The following is a 20849-nucleotide window of genomic DNA, read 5'->3' as shown; positions in this document are numbered from 1 at the left end:
CCTTCCTCTTCTCATCCCTGGCACCTACCTGAGAATGGGGCCCTGGAGGTGGCTCCTCTGAACAGGAACAGGGTTTGCCATGGGAATCAAAGTTTCCTGCTTCAGAGTATCAAAATCCTGACCCCAGGAGCCCCAGGGCCCCCAAGAGGGGACAACTTCCTCTTTGGCCCCTGCCTTCCTCCTCCAGGTCCCAGTAGAACTGAGCAACTGACCAGAGAGAACTTTGGGGAGGGGCCTGGCTGCAGGAAGAAGAGAGTGGGGAGGCAGAGACCCAGCCTACCGGAACTGGGTGAGAGGGGAGGCTGCGGGAAAAGTTTCACATCTGAATCAGACGGAAAACAAGAATCTGTTCTCAGAAGAAGCCCAGAAAGGACAGAAATAGCACAGGCCAGCCCCTTGCTCTGAGGAGGTGGGGCTCCTCTTTTGGGAAAAAGGGGGTTAGCAAGAGGCTTAAGAGTGCAGGGACAGGGAACCATCCTGAATCTGTCACAGAGAGGAGGTCTGTAGCGGGAGGGGAAGGGGCCCTGCAAGAACCCCCAAAAGGAGCTAAGCAGATTCAGCTCCCTTTCAGGGTCTTTTTCTGGGGCCATTCTTCAAAACGAGCTTTAACCCACCTCACAGAATGGAAGCAAGACAGGGGGATGAACTTCCCACAGAGGATAAAAAACTGTAGGGAGGGGCTTCCTGAAGCTAGGTGTCAGGGGATCCTTATCCAGAGACCGGGCTCAACAGGGAGGGAAGGGCCCTCCACCCGCAAGCAGAGAAGGAAAGTCAAGAGAACTCGCTCATAGAAACCAAGGGATTGGGCAAATTAACACCCCCAGCCCCAGTTTTCTCATTTGTAAAATGGAAATTGGGGAATAACCATGAATTAACCAGAGAGAGGTCAATCGGCTCAGAGGTAAGGAGAAGCGATGAGATGGCCCAGGAGGGGCCAAAAGAGGCACCCAGAAGGGGTCTGAGGACCAGGAACCCCTCTCCCGCCTTCAGACTTTGCTTTCGCCAAGGTTGGGGAGGGAAGAACCCAGCCTCTGCAGCTCCAAGTGGACGTGCGCACACAGTCCCAGCCCGCCTCCTGATTGGCTGGGAGATGTCGCCACCAATACATGTACGCTGGGGCCGTGATTGGCCAGCTGAGGAGTTGGGCGGGGCTAAGGAGAAGAGCTGGCGGGTGAAGCCCAACGCATTGGGGAAAAGAGTTCAGGGATCTGCAATCTCTTAGATGTAGGTCTATGGCTGCGGGTGATGTGGTAAAGAGGAAAAGGAACTAATGGGGTTGAGTATGTCAGCAGAAAGGGAAAAGAGAAGACACAGGCCAAGAGCTAGGATTTTATAACAGGAAGTTTTCCCTTTACCCCAACCCGTCAAAAGCAGGAAGAAATGAAAATACCTTGTCATTATGCCAAAGCCTTGAAGAATCAGAAATAAATGAAGTTTGGGAACCTGCTGTTTCTCAGTTCCACTGAGTACTGGGACAAGTGGAAGTGGGCTTCGATCTCAACAAGAGGAGTGGAAGTCAAATATCTTAAGGCTGTTCTCTAGTGAACACCTGGTAGCCGTGAAGCAGGGCTGCTGCAGATCTTGGGAGGGAAGAAACCCACTCTCTCTGTATCCATCTCTTTCTGTGTCCCACCACCACCCTCCCCACAATGACCACAAGCTGATGAGTGTTTTTAGAGAGAAAGGACTAGACCCAGTGTCAGAGACCCTGAATGCCACCCAGGAGATGAGGACAGGTCATTTGGCATGTTCTGTGGACATGCTTGCGTTGCAGGATGGGGCTGAGAGTGGGGGCAGATGGCAGCACACAGCCTGAAACACTAATAACCTCCAACCCAGGCCAACTTCCCTGCCTCGTCTTGTACCCTCACTCCAGACCCTGCCACTCTAGCCAAGTAAGTGCTAACCTCAACTCTCCTAATGAAAAGTAAAGATTTCTTAGACTAGAAAAGCCTCGAAGAGGATATCTTGTCCATTCCTCTCCTCTCTTACCCATTAGAACCAAAGCTGGTTGGACGAATGGCTGCTCACCACTTCAGCCCAGGTATGCATGCTGCATACTTTGCCCTAGCCTGTTATTATTATTTACTCTTCCTAATAAGGAGGGATAATGATCAACCATCATCCCTTCCTGAGGAAAAATTTCACACATAGACACTTACACACACATATACACACACCCCACACTCTACCTCTAAGGAGACTGTCACCTGGCTGGCAGGCAGGACATAAATGTGATGACCTCAACAAAGGGTCCAGTATGGATTTTCCTTTAGCCCTTAAATGTAGTTTAAAAATAGAAAGGAACCCAACTCTAATGCCTGCCCAGCCTGCAGTGAAGAATAAGGTCGAGGTAGGAAACAAAGGATGGGAGACTCTGCCTCTGGTAAGAGAAAAGGGGTGGGGGTGGGTGGGGGTAAAGGGGTGGGGGTGGGTGGGGGTAAAGGGGTGGGTGCTCGGGAAGGGATTCACTGGCTGACTTCAAATCTCCAAAATCTCAGAAATTGAAAGAACCAAGGAAATCATCTAATTCCAATAGAAAGAGGGCGTAAGTTTATAAAATCAGGAGACTTTTCTGGCTAGCTCAGTTGAAAAGAAAAAACTAAATTTAAAAAGAAATCACAAACTTTTGCCTAGATTTTATTACTATGTGTGACCTTGGGAAAGTCACTCTGAGCTTCAGTTTCCTGGTCTGTAAAATGGGTAAATAATACATGCTTCACAGAATTTTCACAAGGACCTAATGAGATATGGTATGAGAACACCTTGGGAACCCTAAAGTGATACATGAATATGAAGGATAATTATTTAGTCCAAATCTTTAGTTAGTTCAGCAAATATTCATTGAGTCATTCATAAACAAAGTCCCATATGCCCACTCTTACAGCCAGGACCCCTGACTTTCCATCCAGGCCTCAGATGGCACCTGGATATTGGTGGGAAAGCTCTAGTCTCCCTGACGCCACCACTCTGGACGTTTAGGGCTTCTCTCTGGCTTCTTATTCCAGAGGCCCTGGGGAGGCAGTGGAGGCAGAGGCTGCAGAGTATGTAGAGCATGTAGCTCCAGAAACCAAGAACAACCAGCTCTCCACCTCACCCGAGCATTCCCACTCCCCCACTCCCCTGGCTTCTGGCTTCCATTGCTATACAGAAAGCCCCAGTTCTGGCAGCTGGCTGGGCATTGTGGCGGGGGTGGCTCCACAGATAAAAATAGCCCCCCAGTGGCAAAGCTGGGTTGCCATCCTGGGAGGCACTGTTGACATGGCAGCAGTGGTGAGAGAGCCCTCAGCACTGGACAGAGGAGCTACGGGTGGGGGTGGGATGAGGAAAGGGAATGGGGCAGGCCCTAGGGAAGATTGGAAGATAGTGGGGGAAGGACAGAAACCAGGAGGGTGAAGGGAGATGAGGAAAAGGGGTAGGAGGTATTAAGGGGGCAGGGAGGAAAGGAAAGGAGATTTGAAAGGTGCTGCATTCGAGAAGCTGGGAACACACTGAAGAAGTGGGAGAGACTGCTTTCAGACTCCTCCTGTGCCTGTGCCTTCTGACCAGAAGCCGTTTCTAACAGGTGTTCCTAGCAACAGCCCAGCACAACTCAGATCACACGAGAAAGGGAATAATCTAAGCAGCTTGAGCCTCAGCCCAGACCAATAAGAACCCAGGTGTCCCAGCTCCCAGCCAAGAACACAAATGAGTCACCTTTCCATCAGACTTCAGCCCTTGAGAGAGAGAGGAATTGGGAGGGGTGGGTGAGAAGGTCAGAGGAAGGCAAACTAAAGAGGAGGCTCCCAGTACCCAGTCCAGAAGAACTCTTTCTCTGGTTCATTTCTCCACCCCTCTTCTCCCTCCCTACACCATTTGATTTTGCTCATTAACCACCTCCACATGGACCACCCCACCAGCCCTCCAAACTACATCCTAACAGCTGTTCCCAGCAGATGCCCTGCTTCCATGGGGCCTAACAGATGTTGAAGGTAGTCTGGGATGGGAAAGTAAATTAAAAGCTTAGCAAGAGTCTGACTGCAAGTGTGATGAGGGCAGCATCAGATTATGGATCAGCAGGATTTGGGTCTGGTCCCAGCACTGCCCCGATTTTACTAACTATCTCTGGGGATCTGTTCCTCCTCTGTAGCCTTTATGGTTCTCAGATTCAGGGACTGGGTTGGAGACACTGGGGAAGTAGGATGCTTGGGCCTCAATTTCCCAGTTCCAGAGTTCATCCTTTCTGACTGGCTCACTGCTTCCCCAAATCAGCTCTAACCCAGTGCTTAGAGGAGAAGGGTAGATTTTTTCTTTATCAGAGAAAGGCCACAGTCTAACCTCCAGGAACTTTCCAGGAAGTTCTCCTGCATATCTGTCTTCAATTTATTTCACTGCAATTTAAAAAACAACAGCAAATTTTCTTGGCATTTCAAAGAAGAGCAGAAGGGGAGAGAATAGGAGGGACCAAGAAGTCTTTGAGGTGTCTAGTGCAATTTGATTTATTATACATCTTCCAGATTGGAATTTCTAAAGCAATTGCTTGGAAGAGAGATGCTCATGGTTTAGGAAGTTTGGCAATTCCGTTGGCCTGTGTGTTCACTCAGTCCAGGCCACAAGAAGTTTCCAAACAAGGTGGGCACAGAGAAGAGAACTAGGGACATGGTGCCAAGCAGATATGCAGGAGTTGATAAACAGGGGAGCAGGGAAGCCAACAAATAGGAATAAAAGGAAAAACTTTCCCCAGGTCCTGCCTGCCAGAGAATCACTCAGCCTCTCCCTACAACCAGCCCCCAGCCCCCAGCCCCCAGCCCTCAACCCCCCACCAGCCAAGTTCCCTTCCCAACCTAAATGGTGCCAACACCAGCTGGCAGCCTAATCACCCCACTGTAGCCACCATAATTATTTGCAAATCTGACTTCTCACTGCAGCTGTGGAATCAACTGACCTGGAAGTCTGGCTCTTTCCAACAGCACCACCTGAAGCACCCCCTTTCTAGCTCTTCTCCATGCCCTATGCCCCCAGGCCTTACCCCAAAAACAACCTGACCCTTTTCCCACCAAGCCTTCCTCTCTACCAAAACCCCAACACATCTCCCTCAGTGCACCTTTGCCAGGTCTGAGTGCTGAAGTGGAATCTGGACCTGGTGTTTTCTTCTCAGACAGCGATAAGCTCCATAGATGCAACCCCAGCTGAGGGAAAAGGAGCAGTTGCAGGACTGGGGGATACTAGGGCACAGGGGCAAGGGCAGGGGCACTAAGGACCTCCCTGCATTGTATGGATAATAAGTTGATTTTATCCTTTTCCCTTCTCAGTCACTCTTTTTTCCCTGCTCAATTCCCATCTATGCCCCTTCCCAAAGGAACGGAGGAATGGTCCCACAGTTCTCTCAGACCATGTAGTCTTGCTGCCTTAGGGGACAATTTCATTATCTAACAACTTCCAGTCTCCCCAGTTGTCTCACTTCCACCCCACCTGCTGTCCTGGTTTTGTCCCTCTTTCTCTGCTGCTATCCTGAAGAGAGTTGGAAAATAGCTACTCAACTTCCGTACCTGAGAAAAATCAGCCCCTTGAGATTCAAAGGCAATTACTTGGCTTCCTCCCCAGAGGGACTAGGAGGATGAGGTCACTGAGAAGGCAAAAGACACGCCTTGCAGAAGACAGGAGTCGGGGCTGGACTCCTAAGGCCCCAGAGGGCACCTATAGCAAGCTTATCCTGTACCATCACCACAGCAACCCCTCAGTGAGGGGAGGGAGCCACGGGGATTTTCTGACTCCTAGCCAAGATGAGGGAGGAGAAGTACTGATGGCAAGAGCGAAAGGGTAAGTCAAAAGGAATGGGACAGAGAGAGGAAGTGGGACAAGGGAGAAGAGCAAAAGGGAGCCTCATAGCGAAAGAGAACCCAGAGAAAGATGAGGCAAAGGAGAAGATGGAAGAATCAAAGAAGAGAAAATGAGAGAGAGCAGAGGAGTTGGACACAAATTCTCAAGGATTCCTTTAAAGACTCAAAAAGAGAGGGAAGACCTGTTTTCAAGGTTTTCTGCTCCTCCATCCCAGTCTGAAGGTGGCAGAAAGATTTAAAGGTTGGGGGAATCTGGGAGATAGGGAAGCTACCATTCCTTTGATTTCAGGAACTCCCTGGCAGGGTGTAGTTATATAGATGTGCAGGCTTCTTTCCTACTGAGCATCTCACCTGGCCTTCTAGTCCCATGCATCCCCAACCTCTTTCGCCTTCCTCTGGGCAAAGGTGGCAAATGCAACCTCAAATGTGGAATCCTCTGTCTTTTTTCAAACCACCTCCTGAGGCTCCTGGACAAGCAGAGTGATATTTGGATTCTAAGAGACTTCAGTGATTTTCTAAAATAGGATGTGGTATAACTGATGATACCCTCAGGCCTAGGGACTTGGGATAAATGTCCGAAGGGAATTCCCCAATGTTCATAGAACCCACCTATGGCAGCCCCTGGGCTTCCCACACTCACCATGTCTCAGAACTGCAATTGCTCCATCCACTTCCAGTTTGACCATTGGGAAAAAATGATAAGGAGGAAGTTCCTCTCCTTTCTTTTGACCTCAGTGGCCCACATCCTTCATAATATTGCCCTCCTCTAGTCCCACCTATCCTTCTGGTCTCTAAGTTCAGACACATGCCTTCACTCCTTCCAGATAACCATCAACAAGACTCCTTCAATCACGGCTCAAACCTATTAGGTAATTCATATTCCTACCTCTTGAATCTTTGTCTCCCTCATCCCAGCCAATAGTTGCCCATCCATTCCCATTCCCCTGCCTCTTCACAAAGCAAGCTCTCCCATGATGAAAAAGACCTTCAGGCTTTATCATTTCAAAGTTACTTTTACATGATGATATTAAATGAAGAACTGAGACTCAGAGAGACTATGTGACTTAAAGATTACACCGTTGTAATTGTTAGGGCAGAATGTGAACTCGAACTCAAGTCTCCCAAAATTCCCCATGCCCTTCCACTACCACCACTCTGCCTCCCTGCTTCCCTCCCTCCAGCCACCTATCCTGACCAGAGGTTTGTGAAGTTCTTCCTTGGGGCTGAATTTGATCCCCTACCTCTGCACCTTCCCTTCAACTTAAGGCAGGAATTTTCTACCCTCTACCTTCCCAGAGATACCACACAGTCCTCATTCAAGACAAAGCTGATGGAGGAAATAGAGACAGGAGACATTTGATGGAAAAGTGGGGTATGAAACCGAGGGAGAAGAGATTCCCTTTGCTATGGCTGGAAGCAGAGGAAGAAGGACTAATCTGCTGAGGATAGCACTAAAAAACTGTCCCCACCAAGGCATGAGAAAAATGACACTCCTTTTTCTCCAGAGGTCCAGGGAACCATAGTTTATGCTGCAATCTTCACAGCAGCTCCACATCCATAGACAGAAAAAGGAGAATGGCAGCATGATTTTCAAAACTGGTAAGAACCATAGAAGATCACTCCATGGGGCCTATACAAAAAGAGGGCAAAAGCCAGGGTTAAACCAATGAGGCACCCAGTCTCAGCTTCTTCCTCCCATCCACTGGATCTCCCCAGGAATGTCAAAAAATCTCAGTGTCACAAATACATACACAAGATCACACATAGGTATTATCCCATTACCTACATACACACATACATCATCTCATAACTAGGACAATTTCAGGTATTCAGGTAAGTGCACACCTTCCCAATATATTTATTATTACACATGCCACTTATAAAAACAGACACATCTTCATGGAGCTCTGTCCCCAGCATACATATCAACCTTTACCCAAACACATGTATACGTGTCAGGCAGGCATTCACAATTTCATCCTAACATATCTCATTCACACAATCCAAACGCCACAGTTTCTGGATCCTCTCTGTAACTCCTTCAGTTCCAGGCTCTGTCCTGAGGTCCCTAAACCCCATATCTTTTAAGCATCACCCTCTCAAAAAAACAGCATCATCATCATCTCCCTTTCCTCCACCTCCATTTCCTACTCCTCCCCCCGCCACTCAACAAACACGGAGGTATACACGCACCACAGAACCAGAGACAGAACTGGACCTCGTAACATATGTACATATATTCACTATTTCATTTGTTCATTCCTTTATTTAACAGCATTTATTGAGTGCCTGTTATGTTCAAGGTATCACACTAGACTCTGATGAAACAAAGATAAGCAAAAATAATCCCCAGTGGGGTCCCTGCTCCAGCTCATCTATAATGACCTTGAACCACAGCATAGAACATTGAGCCTAGACTTTGAGGGTCCCGAGTGCGTACCATGTGGGGAAAGAAAAAGAGAAAGGGACTATGTCTATACTGTCCCAAAGGAAGGGGGAAGTTCCATCTGTAAAATGTAAAATTCCAAGAGAAACTGGAGCAGAGAAAAGAGAGTGGTGTTTGTACCATCCTGGGAAAAAGAGAACTCATATTTATGCTTTTCCTATGTATATAACCCCCCTAAAGAAAAAATGAGGCAGAAACCCAGAGTGGTAGAATTTCATCACTTGGGTGGGTGTAGCAAAACAGGGAATACAGAGCCCCCTGCCTCTCTACACCACTTGATGGAGTTGAAGCAGGTTACAAGCTCTGTAGGAAGAGGGACTATGTCTGTTTTGTCCACCACCGACTGTATTCTCAGCATCCAGCATGCCACCTGGTCCATAGAAGGCACTCAAGAAATAGTTGTTGGATAAATAAATGAGCTGAGGATGGCAAACCAATGTCTGCTCATCGTTTTTCTTGAATCACAAAAGACACAGAAAATCATTTCTATCTCTTCTGGTCTTCTTCCCATTCCCTAAAGCCCTCTGATCTCAGAGAAGGGTGGACAGCCAAGTCAAATACTTCCTCTTAGGGTTACAGATGCTGAAAATCATCCTGGCCAACTCATCATCTCCAGATGGCCTCTTTCACCCTCTCTCATGCCTCAGTTTATGAGTTTGCTTAATTAGAGAAATTGTTCTGAAAATAGGGGTAAAATCACACAGTTAAGAGATTCTCTTCAGCTCATATGATACAGATTAGATTCTGAATTTATTTTTGACAGGGTCTTAGTGTGGGAAACAGAATTCTTGGATGCTCTTCCCAACAAAAAATTGCCCTGCACTATTATATTAGTGTGGGCTTTTTATCCAGAGTCAAAAACACCAGGCCTAGTCTCCCTGAAGAAAGTCTGGATGTCCTGATTAGAAATTAAAAGGGTAGAAGGGGGGGAATAGGATGTGTTGAGTAGAAGAATCTAGATAGATAGTTAGATAAATACATACAAGTATATATGCCATGTTTCCATTTCCAAGCAGTACCCAGTCCTAAGATAATCATGTCTATTTCCTATTTCCAGACTTAGCAACCCCTTCCCACCTTGACCAAAGGGGCAGGGGGATCTTTATTTCCACTTAAAAGGGGGAACATCTCCTTTCTCACCTATTCAGAAACCATCCCATTGAGAGGGTTGGGAAACTCCCACCTCTTACCCAGCAAAGCCCTAAATCCTTTTATTTCCCTTCATCTGATAGTCAAAGCCTCCCCAATATTCAAAAAGGCAAAATCCAGTAGGCCATCAACATAGATCAAGTTGGGATCTACCTTGATTTCAAGGTCTTTCTCTGCTTTAAGGACGTAAGACTGGGAATCTATTCCTGCCAATTAATAATCCGGAGATTGTACTTTTTTGGGTAAGTTATATTACATGTAGCTAGCTTTATTTTTTACTTGTAAATTTATTGTACAAAGCTAGCATTCTTAAGGACCAGACTGCTGAAGTGAGTGAAGACCAGAATGATCTAATCAATAAGAATAGGGATCCTTGTCCACCCTAATCTCATGTAAGGACATCTCAGCTAAGGCACTCTGGAGAGACAGATGCCTCTACTCCCTTCTCTTCCCAGGTTTCATGCCTCCTTCTGGGAATCCTCTTCTCTCACCACTGAGCACTTCTCACACTAAAGGAAGAAACAACAATTCATTTTCAGGAAAGGCTTTTGGTTAGAAATGTGTGGGAGATAGTGAAACTAGTAATACCCACTCTTTCGCAGGGCCCTGTTACCTGGAATACAGGCAAGGTAAGTATGATGAGCCACTAGTGTTAGGGGAGCCATCCTGAATTCTCCCATTTATGGACCTGGGGCCCTTCTTTACCTTTCAACTACTTCCTTATCTGCCCCTTTCCCCAGCTCATTTACCATTAACGCAGCGTCATTTTCTATCAAGAATCACACAGTGCTCCTCCCAACAAAAATCAGTTCAATCTGGTTTTCCATTTCTTCATCCCAGAACTCATTCCAAGGCTGTGCTTCATAGAGCCCAGCAAATTGGATTGGCCAGAGGCAGCCAAGGAGGAGGACTGAGAAGTACATTTGGATTCCAAGCCTTGTTGCCCACTATGCCTCAGTTCTCCCTAACGCCTCTCCAAGTAGCTAGTGTATAAATCAGACCCATCTGCCATAAAAAGGTGTCATCTTATCACCATAGGTGAAGTATTTAAAGAACAATACAACATAAGCATCTATCCATCCCCTACCCCCATCTCTCCCTCTCCCAGAACCCAGAAATAGAAAGCTTCGGTGCTCACTATGGAGAACATTGAGGAGGAACTGGGTTCAGGGCTATGTTTACTGTGTTTCCTCTCTAAACATCCATAGTCTCCTATCTGTTTCCTCTTTCCTGGGGCCATGGATTCATCTCGGAGAGAGGGACATCTTCTCTTGTTCCCTGATTAAGAATCAACAGACTGCGGAGATTTCCCAATGGCAGCAGCTGACTGGGAGATAAACATGGTGCATGGCTTGTCTTTGACCCAATCCTCTTTTTTTTCTAAGGAGCAGGGGAAAAGTTCCTTTCCTCCCCTGGGACTGGAGTATCAGATACCTGAGTTCTTCCTTCCCCCATTTATTCCTCCCCACATGCCCTGGTACTGCAACAATAGGAAAAGATGCCCAAATGTGCTTGGAGATCCTGGAAGACCCTATATAAACAAAAAGCCTCTGATTAAGCCAGTTACCTTGCCTTTGTCAATCAATATTTCTTCACCATCATCACCTCCTTCAGCTTCCAGGTGGGGGCTCCAACCCCCCCTCCAGATTCCACGTGGGTCCCCTCATCATTAATACATAGAGTGAGTTTCCAGGCCCCAAGAGATGAGCAGCTCAGGCATGGGGTAACCCCCACCCCACTTCCTGTGCATGAGGCAGAAACTACCAATCCCAACTGAGATACATATGACCCACAGGTTGGCACAAGTATTCCCATGCAGTAGATCTACAGCTGTGTGCAATCACTCCACATACCTCTGTGACCCACGCTCACTCATGCACACACATGTCATGTGGCTCACATCTGCACAACTCTGCACATGGATATGTGTGAGTCAGCCTGGCACCTCTACTGCCCTCCTGCAGCCCTGCCACACTGCATATACTGTGCTGCCTCTAGGCGCTGCGTGTGTCAGCCTGGGGTCCACAGGCACAGGCACATCGTTACCTTTGCAACTCCTAAGCCCGCTCCAACTGGCCAGCTTGCTCCGCACATGCCTTGCACATGTGGCCTGGCCACGCGTGTCAGGGCCGTGCTTCCTCGCACCTGCCAACATCTGTGCCAAAGAGAATCTACCAGCCCACAGCCCTGCTCCAGTTATCCCCCCTCCTCCTCCCGCTCAGGCTCCCTAAGGTCCCTTCCCCCCATTCCCGGGCCGGGGACTTACAGAGACCGAAGCTTAATCCACATCTTCTTGCTGGGGGCTGACTTCAGCTCCAGGGGTGACGGGCAATCCGACTCCTCCAGCATCTCCGGAGGACTGCGGGGGGACAGCTCCATGCTCAGCCACGGTCTACGGAACAGAAGGAGGAGACAGCACCTCGGCTCAGCTTCAGCCCCAGCCGAGAGACCCTCACCCCCCATCCCAGGCCCTTCCCACCTGCGGCTGGCGTGGACCAGCCAGGCCGGTGTCTCTAGGCTCGGCCCAAGCTGGCAGAGCTGCAGCTCCTGCGGCTCCTCCTCTCCCGCTGCCCAGCCGAGCTTTGGGCTCCCAGTCCAAGCTCTCCGCACCGCCGCTGCTGCTGCCGCTACCGCCGCCGCCGCCGCGCGCTGCCAGAGCCGCCTCCTCGCCTCTCTCCTCCTCCCCCGGCCGGGTTCCCCCCTCCCTCTGCTCTCCCTCCCTTCTCCTCAGCCTGCCCGCCAGTCTCTCACTCCTCACAGCCACTCCTCCCCCTCCCAAAGGAACGATTGGAAGCCGGGGGCACACACAGACAGAAGCGCCCAAGGGCGAGCGCACGCACACAGGCGCCGGGGACGAGTGGCTGCGTGTGCCCTGTACTGGCGGATGTGAGTGCGTGTTTACAGAGTGCAGCGGAGGCGGCGGGCTGGACTTCGGTGTGGGTGGTTGTGTGGGTTCTCTCCGTGTGTTTTGAGTTTCTGTGTATGTGGTTGTGGTTCCATGTATCCACGTGTGCCTAGCTGCCTGCGTGTCCCATGTCTGAGTGCGGGGTAGGGGATGAGCACACATCTTTCCCTGCTAGATCTGGACTCGGAACCCAGTCGGACCAGACCCCACCTGTGCTCCTGTCTTGGAAAAGTTCAGGGTGTGCCCTGAGCTGTGATGGCATCCCACACTTGGCCTCGGGTCCCTCAGCTTGATCTTCCCCACCTGTCTCCAAGACTGTGGCCTTCTCCATGGTACTTCTGCCTGCCCGCCTAGCAGATAGGAATTTCTTCCAAGTTCAAAGCTCTCCAGAGCAGGCATCTTTTTTTTTTTTTTTTTTTTTTTTTTTTTTTTTGAGAAGGAGTCTGTGTCGCCCAGGCTGCAGTGCAGTGGCGCGATCTCGGCTCACTGCAACCTCTGCCTCCCCAGTTCCAGCGATTCTCCTGCCTCAGCCTCCTGGAGTAGCTGGGACTACAGGCGCGGGCCACCACGCCGGCTAATTTTTGTATTTTTTAGTAGAGATGGGGTTTCACTATATTGGCCAGGCTGGTCTCCAACTCCTGACCTCGTGATCCGCCCACGTCGGCCTCCCAAAGTGGTGGGATTACAGGTGTGAGCCACCGCACCCAGCTTAACATCTTCTTCTTTGACTAGGTAATAACTCTACACAGCCAGGAAAGCATTCCTGATATCAAAACCCCTCCTGAAGCACTTCCAGCTCATTTTTTCTGTTCTGTCTTCAGAGAAAGAAATCTAGGAGCTAAAGGCCCAGCACAAAACAGCCTAGCTGGTTAATAAACATTTGTGGAAGGAGTGAACTGGAATTTGAACTCAAGACCTTGTAAAAGGGCAAAGCCTCCTCCATCCAACCGAGTCCTACCTAGGACTCTTGCAGGAACCACCTCTCTTGCTCCATATTGTTCTCTCCCTTAATGACCACCTGCTTTGGCATTGGGGAAACTCCTATGTCAACAGAAAGTGGAGATATATTCACTAACTACTGAATCCAAAACAGGCCACTAATCCAGGATCCCAGAATGTGAATTTTAATTTCAAAAAATTCTGGAGGTTGGAAGGAGGAGTGATCAGGAGAAGGTATTTACTCTGTTCTAAATACTGAGTGGAGGCTCCTCCTCTCCCAGTCAGAGAAGGAGAAAAGAAGTGAAATGGAAGGGCGAAGAAGCGGATGAACTGTCACAGCTAAGACTCCTAACATAAAAGAATTGCCAAGTTAGGTCAGCATTTAGATTCAGCAGAAGTATCAGCAGAACCAGCTCCCAGAAAGTACAGAGGCAGAAAGAGATGGCAGAGTCAGAGATGGAGAAAAAAGTGGAAATAATAAGGGACTTCCCACCCTCTGTCCATCTACCTTTAGCACACATCCCTTGGCTTTTCCCCAGACCCAGCCAAGAAATGGCTGCATCTGAGACCCTAGTCACACTCCTACACAGTCCATTTCTGAAAATTTGGGAGCAATCTCCTCCTTATCAACTGAAAATGAAATGGGCTGGAAACTACAAAAGAATTGCAAATTAGGATGGTGCTAAAGAGCTCTAATTAGTAAATTAGGATTAGAGCTAAGGAGTTTCCAAATTTAGGCAGGTCTTTAAACTAGAATAGGTGGGAAAGAGGCAAGACATACATCCAGAGGGCTCTCTCAACATTTCTTGTTAACACAGTGTCACATCCTGCTCTCCCAAGACCCCCTGCTCCTGATTCATTTTAAGGCTAATTCACACACACACACACACACACACACACACACGCACACACACACAAAGTTATTCGTGAAAGAGACATTAGAGTTCATCCACTCTAATTCCCTTCATTTAATAAATGGGAAAACTTCATAGACAACACAGTTTGATGGAAAAAGTAAAAATAAAAATAAATGAGAACTAAACTAACCCAGAAAAATTATAGGGTCTCACAGAGAGTAAGTGATAAAACCAGAGCCAAGTCTATCAGCCTTTTTCACTCTGTGGCTCCTTTCACTTTCTTTAGTCACCAGTCCTGGTGTTTAGTCTCAACCTCATTCCTCTTGTTGCAATACAATCCCATTTCTACCTTGCTGCGTCTCTAAACAGATAAGAATTGGGTATACTTGTTCCACTCTGAGGCTCAAAAGACAACTATTCTCTCCCTGTCTTTTCCTCTTGTCCTCATCCCCCACCTTTCCCAGGCTCCTTCTCATTCCTCTCCTTTTCAGCTTCTAAACTGCCCCCTACCCCTAGGAGGCTCTGCCTCCTCACTCCCCTAACCCCACAATCCTTTCCAACAAGCTTTGAGTTTGATAGAAACCAAAAATGATGCTTTGGCAGTAGGTGACGGATGGATGTGATCTGCCTCCTACGGGAATGCTATTTAAAGGGGCAGCCTCACAATCCTCTCCTTCCAAAGTGACAAGAGAAAAGTCTGCTCCTCAATCTCTCCAGAGCTGCAAACTCAGCTCAAGTTAACTTCTGACTTCCTCAACCTGCAACCTGGCCTGCTGCTCCTGCTTCCTATTCAAGTGGGAGGGAGAGTACTTGACAACTCATTGAGGTGTGGGGGCTGAAGGGGGATTCATCTTCATCTCCTTTGATGACAGGTACTTAGGAGAAGCAGGAGGCCCTGTGGGGAGGAGGACTGGAAGAACACTCTTCCCCCAACCGCGTGAGTGCATTTCAGCCATGTGCCAGCTTCTTCTCAAAGTCAAACTTTGTTGGAGAAGAACTAATATAAGCATGAGGACCTAAGGTTAAGGAAGCCTTGTCCCTAGCTGGGGGACACAGATATACCCTCCCTCCCTCCTGGATCCTGGTATTCACAGCACAGTTGTTCCCTTCCTGCAAAGCAAAGTGCTACAGGGCATCATCCCCTTGGCCAGGCCCTGGACCTTCTGCATTTTTTTTTTTTTTTTTTTTTGTGAGACAGGATCTTGCTCTGTCACCCAGACTGGAGTGCAATGGCATCATCTTCGCTCACTGCAACCTCTGCCTCCCGGACTCAAGCGATCCTCCCCACCTCAGCCTTCCAAGTAGCTAGGACTACAGGCAGGAACTACTACGCCCAGCTAATTTTCGTATTTTTTTGTAGAGACGGAGTTCGCCATGTTGACCAGGCTGGTCTTAACCTCCTTAGCTCAAGAGATCCACTGGCCTCAGCCTCCCAAAGTGTTGGGATTACAGACAACAGCCACCATGCCCAGCTAATTTTTTGTATTTTTGGAGAGACAGGGTTTCACTGTGTTGCCCAGAGTGGTCTCAAACTCCTGAGTTCAAGCGATCCGCCTGCCTCCCAAAGTGCTGGGATTACAGGGGTGAGCCACCACACCCAGTTCCTTCTGCACTTTGAAGCTGGCCCACCTGCCAACTGGATTGAACACCATGGCAGGGGAGGCAGTGTTTCTACTGTCCAAACAAAAGGGGGCACCTATGCAAGTATCTTGCCCCAGGCCTTGTGGGAGGCATAATTCCATCTCATTGCTGCAAGCAAGTTAATGGAGATGTTAATAAAAACACTACATTAATGAAAATGCTGAGGCTAGAACCTATTCTGTGCCTGTAAGACAAAACAATTGGGGTGAGATTTCTGATATCCATTCTTTAGTTCCTTTGGGCCTAAGTAAAGCAAACTTACAACCTGGGACACAACTTATTTTTTCCCAGGTTGTAAGAGGACAGAGACCCTCCTGGTAAAGGAAGCAAATTGCCTGAAATGCTGATGGGTCCTGTTACTTCTCTGTCCCTTCACCTCTGGACATTCACTTTTTGCTTCCGGTAGTAAAGGCCATCATGTCCTCACCTTCTCCAATTTGCTCCTTCTAAGGTCTCTGGATTCTAAAACCCAAGTCTTCCCTTGTGAAGAGGCAGACCGGGCAAGTAGAAAAGGTCTAGGACTGAACATCAGACTTGGGTCCCAGTTCTAGTTCTACTGCTAAACATGTGACCTTCATTAAGTCATTTAATATTTCTAAATCTGTTTTCTGACCTGAAATAGGAAAGCCTTCCCTGGCTACCTTGCAGAATTGCTATAAGGATGTGAAAGCACTTTGAAAAAGTATAAGTGGTAGAGAAATATGTGTGTATAATTATATGTTTACAAAAAGATATATCAAATGACAAAATTTTAGAAATAGAGAATATATCTGTGTTACCAGGAGCTAGAGATGGGGAAGGGGGTTGTGGGAGGAGAAAATTGCTATAAAATTGCTATAAAAGAGCAATGCGAGGGATCCTTGTGGTGATGGAACTGTTCTGTATCTTTTTTTAAATTATTATTTATTTTTTGAGACAGAGTCTCGCTCTGTCACTCAGCCTGGAATGCTGTGGCAGGATCTTAGCTTACTGCAACCTCCGCCTCCCGGGATCAAGTTATTCTGCTGCCTCAGCCTCCTGAGTAGTGGGACTACAGGCATGCACCACCACGCCCGGCTAGTTTTGGTATTTTTAGTAGAGACGGTGTTTCACTATATTGGCCAGGCTGCTCTCAAACCCCTGACCTCAGGTGATCCACCTGCCTTGGCCTCCCAAAGTGCTGGGATTACAGGCGTGAGCCACTGCGCCCGGCCTGTTCTGTATGTTGACTGCAGTGGCAGATACACAAACCTACACATGATAAAGCTGTATAGAAATAGATAACACACACACGTGCACACACAGAGAGAAATGAACATAAGCAAAACTGGGGAAGGAAATCTGAACAAGATCAGTAGATTATATCAATGTCAGTTATCCTGGTTGTGGCAGTGTACTACAGTTTTGCTAGATGTTAGCATTCAGGGAAACTGTGTAAAGGAAAATAGAATTTCTCTGTATGATTTCTTACAAGTGCAGGTGGATTAAGTATCTCAATAAAATTTTCAGTTTTAAAAAAAGGCATTCTGTCTACCCTCCATCCCCCTGCAGCAACTTGTCTTGCTGTCCTCTTAAGCAGTTCTATATGCAGATGCAGATGGAGGAGGGATCTCTATCCCCTCAAGCAGAAAAATATAAACATATAGAGTAGTTGTTCAGATACTTCTGAGCCTCCTCTTCCTCATCAACTTTACTCTCAGTCTCATAAGCCTGACACTGAATCACCCTTTAGAACATAAGCCCTTCCCATAGCAAGGAAGGAGGATTTGCTGATGCACGAAGCAGGATTCTCTATCGCTTCCACCCTAAAGAGCAGACAACTGTTGCTAAGAAAAATCTGTATGTTGATTATGGGTGCCAAGTTAAGAAAGTATTGACTAAGCCTGGGTCTCAAGAAATAAAAAGCAAACACATGTACAAAACCCCAAAACAGCTATCAAATAGGCTTCAGGAAGGCTGAATCGTTTTTGCTGAAAACCGACAACTGCTTCCCTTTCATCATGAAAGTATGGACATGACCCTAATTAACCAACTAGCTAATTATATTTGTCAATTCCAACCACTCTAGACCTGTGACATATATGATCTGTTTCTCCACTTCTCCCTGGCAGTGGATTCACAGAAGTGATGCATGGGGGCCACTATTTCCTGCCAAGGAGTTAAGTAAACCTAGTTTAGTGCTATCTTGAAAGCCCCCAGGCTCTGTGACGCTTGAAATTCTAATTAGCGCAGAAAAGGGCTAAGTTGAAACAGCTTGTACTCCCTCAAGGATACCCACTCTCAGGGCCATACAACCTAATGAGGTCTGTGAAATTTAAGATCCAGAAGAGAAATCCCTTCCTGGAGCAACAGCTATACCCAGGCTGACAAAAGGATTTGGGGTTAAATTAGTCCCTCCCAATAAAAGGCAGAGTACCCCCAAATGGTACAGGAGGGAAAACCCACCTAAGTCTGGGCCAATCAGTTGTCATGTAACCTAGAATTGACGGAGACTAACTGACCCTCTGCTCTGGGTTGTGGAGATATCAAAGCAGGAGGGGTTAAAGCAAGAGAGAACTTGTAACAAACAATGTAGTAGAGTAGGTGGGCAGTGAACATCTCTGAAGGGCACTTCCTCCTTGCCCCAGTAGGAAACGCAGTCAAGCTGGGGGCAAAGGAAGAGACCCAATGACCCCTCGAAGAGCCCCACAAAGGAAAAGAGGGGCTCCTTTGCTGCTACTCTGCAGTAGGAGCAGGTTGAATGTTTGCTGAACACATTTGAAAAAGGAAGAGAGAAGATAATGGTCCTAATGAATGTGCAGGAGACAATAGCAGCTCCAGTGGGAGGATTATAAGCTCATTATGATTTAATATGATGATTGATCATCTCTGCCCGCCAGCATTATCCTAAGAATAGTGATGAAGGTCGGAGAGGCCCATGCCTGTCAGAGCTCAAGCTCAAGTCACCAGAAGATAGAAAATATACTTGTACGTTACTCCTTTTTTCATTGTAAAATTCACACATGTGGCCCCACGCCCTAACTTTTTCCATAAGCTGTCCTCCATGCTCCCAGCCTGCCTCACTGCTCTACGATTTCTCAGCCCTGGATTGTTCTTCCACAGATCTGCTCATCAACTCTGGCTCCTGACCCTCTCTCCTTAGTGACCCCACCCCATTCCCACCCCCTGCGAAAGTGACCACAGCTTCCACTATGGCAAGGGTTTAGGAAGGTCCAAAGGGCTCTTCAGTGGGTACTGGCAGGCATTCAGTTTAGGTGGAAGGCCCGAGACACCTCCCGATAGGCATTTCGAAGCAGGACATAAGGGAAACAGGACTCCAGCATGTCCAGGGTCAGGAAGGATGACTCCTCCACCACCTGAAAGAGATGGGGCCAAGAGATGAGAACCTCAGGTAGGGCATTTGTCTGTGATACCCTGTTCCTTTTGCATAGTTCCCAGGCCCTCTGAGGCCCTGAGAGTTACAAGTGAACAGGGTTCCAAATCACACCCCCCTCTTCCCTCACTTGGTTTGGCTGCAGGAAGGCAATGTGGCATCTTCAGCTCCATTATCATTGACCCTGACCCCCTCATCAGGACTATGTGAAGGGCACAGAAGCAGACAGCAGGAGAGAACCACTTTCCCAGTGCAGCAAAACCCATTCTCTCCCATTCTGGATGCTAAATCACATGTGGGTGGGCAGCACACAGATGCAGGTAAAGATGTATAAAAGTGCTAATTACAAAGCTTTGCAGCAAGAGAAACAAACACCACTGCAGGCCACGGAAGGGGGCCTGGAATCCACATGGGTCCTCTTGTGTTGGGCCTCAGTCTCCTCCCTCTCTCAGTACAGTGCTTGGGGAACAGTAAGGATGCCGCATAAAGGAGCAGGCATGATTAATTAGTTTAATTAGAAGCCTGTGTGCTGCGGTAATCCCAGCAGCCCCCACAGCCAAGCAGGAAGATAGATCAAGATGCCCGGAGAAGAATGAGAGTGGGGGTGAGGGTGAAGAGGGGGAGGTGGGTGGACAGGGCATGTTCATGAAGAGCAGCATAGCCTAGCGGTGGACTGGAGGGTCCCCATCCCTGAGGAAGGAGCAGGGTGTATTTCCTTCAGTGCCTTCCTTATCCAAGAGGTAATGAGACTAAAAAACACACTCTGGAGAGGTGTCCCATATCCTCTGGCAATTCACACAGATGGGTTCTCCACAATATATCTGGTACTCCAAGTCCTGAAAATTCACTAAGGAAAGAGAATCTACCATATCTACTCTAACGTGTTTCTCTCTCTGAAGTCCTTTCAAGTTTTAAAATGTGTAAGATTTTCCTATTCTCAAACACATGCACACACAACAGCTGCAAAAGAGCAGAAACTGCAGGCTGAAGGAAGGGAAATCTGCTGGTAAAACTGCAGCCCTGATGATAGGTTAAATATCAAAGAATTTCTTGCTAGGCAAGACTTTCAAGCCCTCAGCTGGGAAAGAGATGAGCTGTCTTCTCCAAGGTGCTATCCTCAGGTACAGGGAAATGAATAATGACTTCAAGCAAATCCACTGGCCCAAGACTTTCTATTCTCCATAAAGCACAAGAAAATAACAGGGCTCCCAAGTGGCAGAAGTTTACGGGAGTGGAAACAGCCCTAGAGTGATGGCCAAGAAACTTGGGTTCTAGTCCCAAATCTGCCATATATTTTAGGGGAGACCTTGATTGTCATCTTTCCCTCCCTATTCTTCAGTTTCCTCATCTTTATGACTTGTAAGTACTGGACTAATTGCCAGGATCTGGTCTGGTTCTGGCATCTAGGATTCCATGATTCTATAAGAGCCATGTCTTTCCCCAGGAAACCTGTGCCAGGAACAGACTGGCAACACTGAGGTGCAGGCATGGCCCAGGCTTGACAGCCAAAACAGAAAGACTCTGGGGACAGAAGTGCTGGTCAGAATTTGAGGCTACATGAGTAGCCTCTTAACTCAGAATACAGCTCCTTCACCTTCGGTCATTTCCAATTTCTCTGTGGAAACATTTGCATTTAAATTGCTTCACAGCAACTAGTCCCTCTAGTTTCTCCCTCCAACAAAAAGTACCTGATCCTAGCTCTGTTCCCGTCACTCTGTTGGCTTCATTGGAAGGCCACAGG

General features: G+C 47.9%; 2 protein-coding genes across 9 annotated transcripts in view, besides 3 other annotated features; both read right to left on the bottom strand.

Annotated features, from left to right (window-relative positions):
* PDE1B (phosphodiesterase 1B) overlaps nt 1–12065 on the bottom strand; it is a 29639-nt gene extending 17574 nt beyond the window's left edge. For 3 of the 7 annotated variants that reach the window (NM_001165975.3, NM_001315534.2, NM_001315535.2), the window contains exon 1: nt 29–201. In NM_001165975.3, coding sequence (NP_001159447.1) covers nt 29–81 — 53 coding nt within the window. In that variant the 5' untranslated portion in view covers nt 82–201. Of the gene's footprint in view, nt 1–28; nt 202–7288; nt 7450–11460; nt 11587–11680; nt 11807–11893 lie in introns of those variants that run through there. The other 4 variants (NM_001288768.2, NM_000924.4, XM_047428970.1 and 1 more) reach the window with 3 other exon arrangements.
* Nucleotides 10887–11515: an enhancer, noted in NCBI's record as "H3K4me1 hESC enhancer chr12:54943935-54944563 (GRCh37/hg19 assembly coordinates)". NCBI's record gives its function as "activates a minimal SCP1, AML or CMV promoter by ChIP-STARR-seq in naive H9 embryonic stem cells {active_cell/tissue: H9 hESC(naive)}" and the evidence as "EXISTENCE:reporter gene assay evidence [ECO:0000049][PMID:30033119]".
* Nucleotides 12081–12140: a silencer, noted in NCBI's record as "silent region_4531". NCBI's record gives its function as "represses an Ori minimal core promoter by ATAC-STARR-seq in GM12878 lymphoblastoid cells {active_cell/tissue: GM12878}" and the evidence as "EXISTENCE:reporter gene assay evidence [ECO:0000049][PMID:35858748]".
* Nucleotides 13423–20849, bottom strand: part of NCKAP1L (NCK associated protein 1 like) — a 50492-nt gene continuing 43065 nt past the window's right edge. For both annotated transcript variants that reach the window (NM_005337.5, NM_001184976.2), the window contains exon 31: nt 13423–19091. In NM_005337.5, coding sequence (NP_005328.2) covers nt 18981–19091 — 111 coding nt within the window. In that variant the 3' untranslated portion in view covers nt 13423–18980. The remainder of the gene's footprint in view (nt 19092–20849) is intronic.
* Nucleotides 14663–15207: an enhancer, noted in NCBI's record as "NANOG hESC enhancer chr12:54940243-54940787 (GRCh37/hg19 assembly coordinates)". NCBI's record gives its function as "activates a minimal SCP1, AML or CMV promoter by ChIP-STARR-seq in naive H9 embryonic stem cells {active_cell/tissue: H9 hESC(naive)}" and the evidence as "EXISTENCE:reporter gene assay evidence [ECO:0000049][PMID:30033119]".

This window comes from Homo sapiens, chromosome 12 (assembly GCF_000001405.40).
Source record: "Homo sapiens chromosome 12, GRCh38.p14 Primary Assembly".
In the NCBI taxonomy this organism is placed as follows: Eukaryota; Metazoa; Chordata; class Mammalia; order Primates; family Hominidae; genus Homo; species Homo sapiens.
This window is presented reverse-complemented; position numbering and strand designations above follow the sequence as displayed.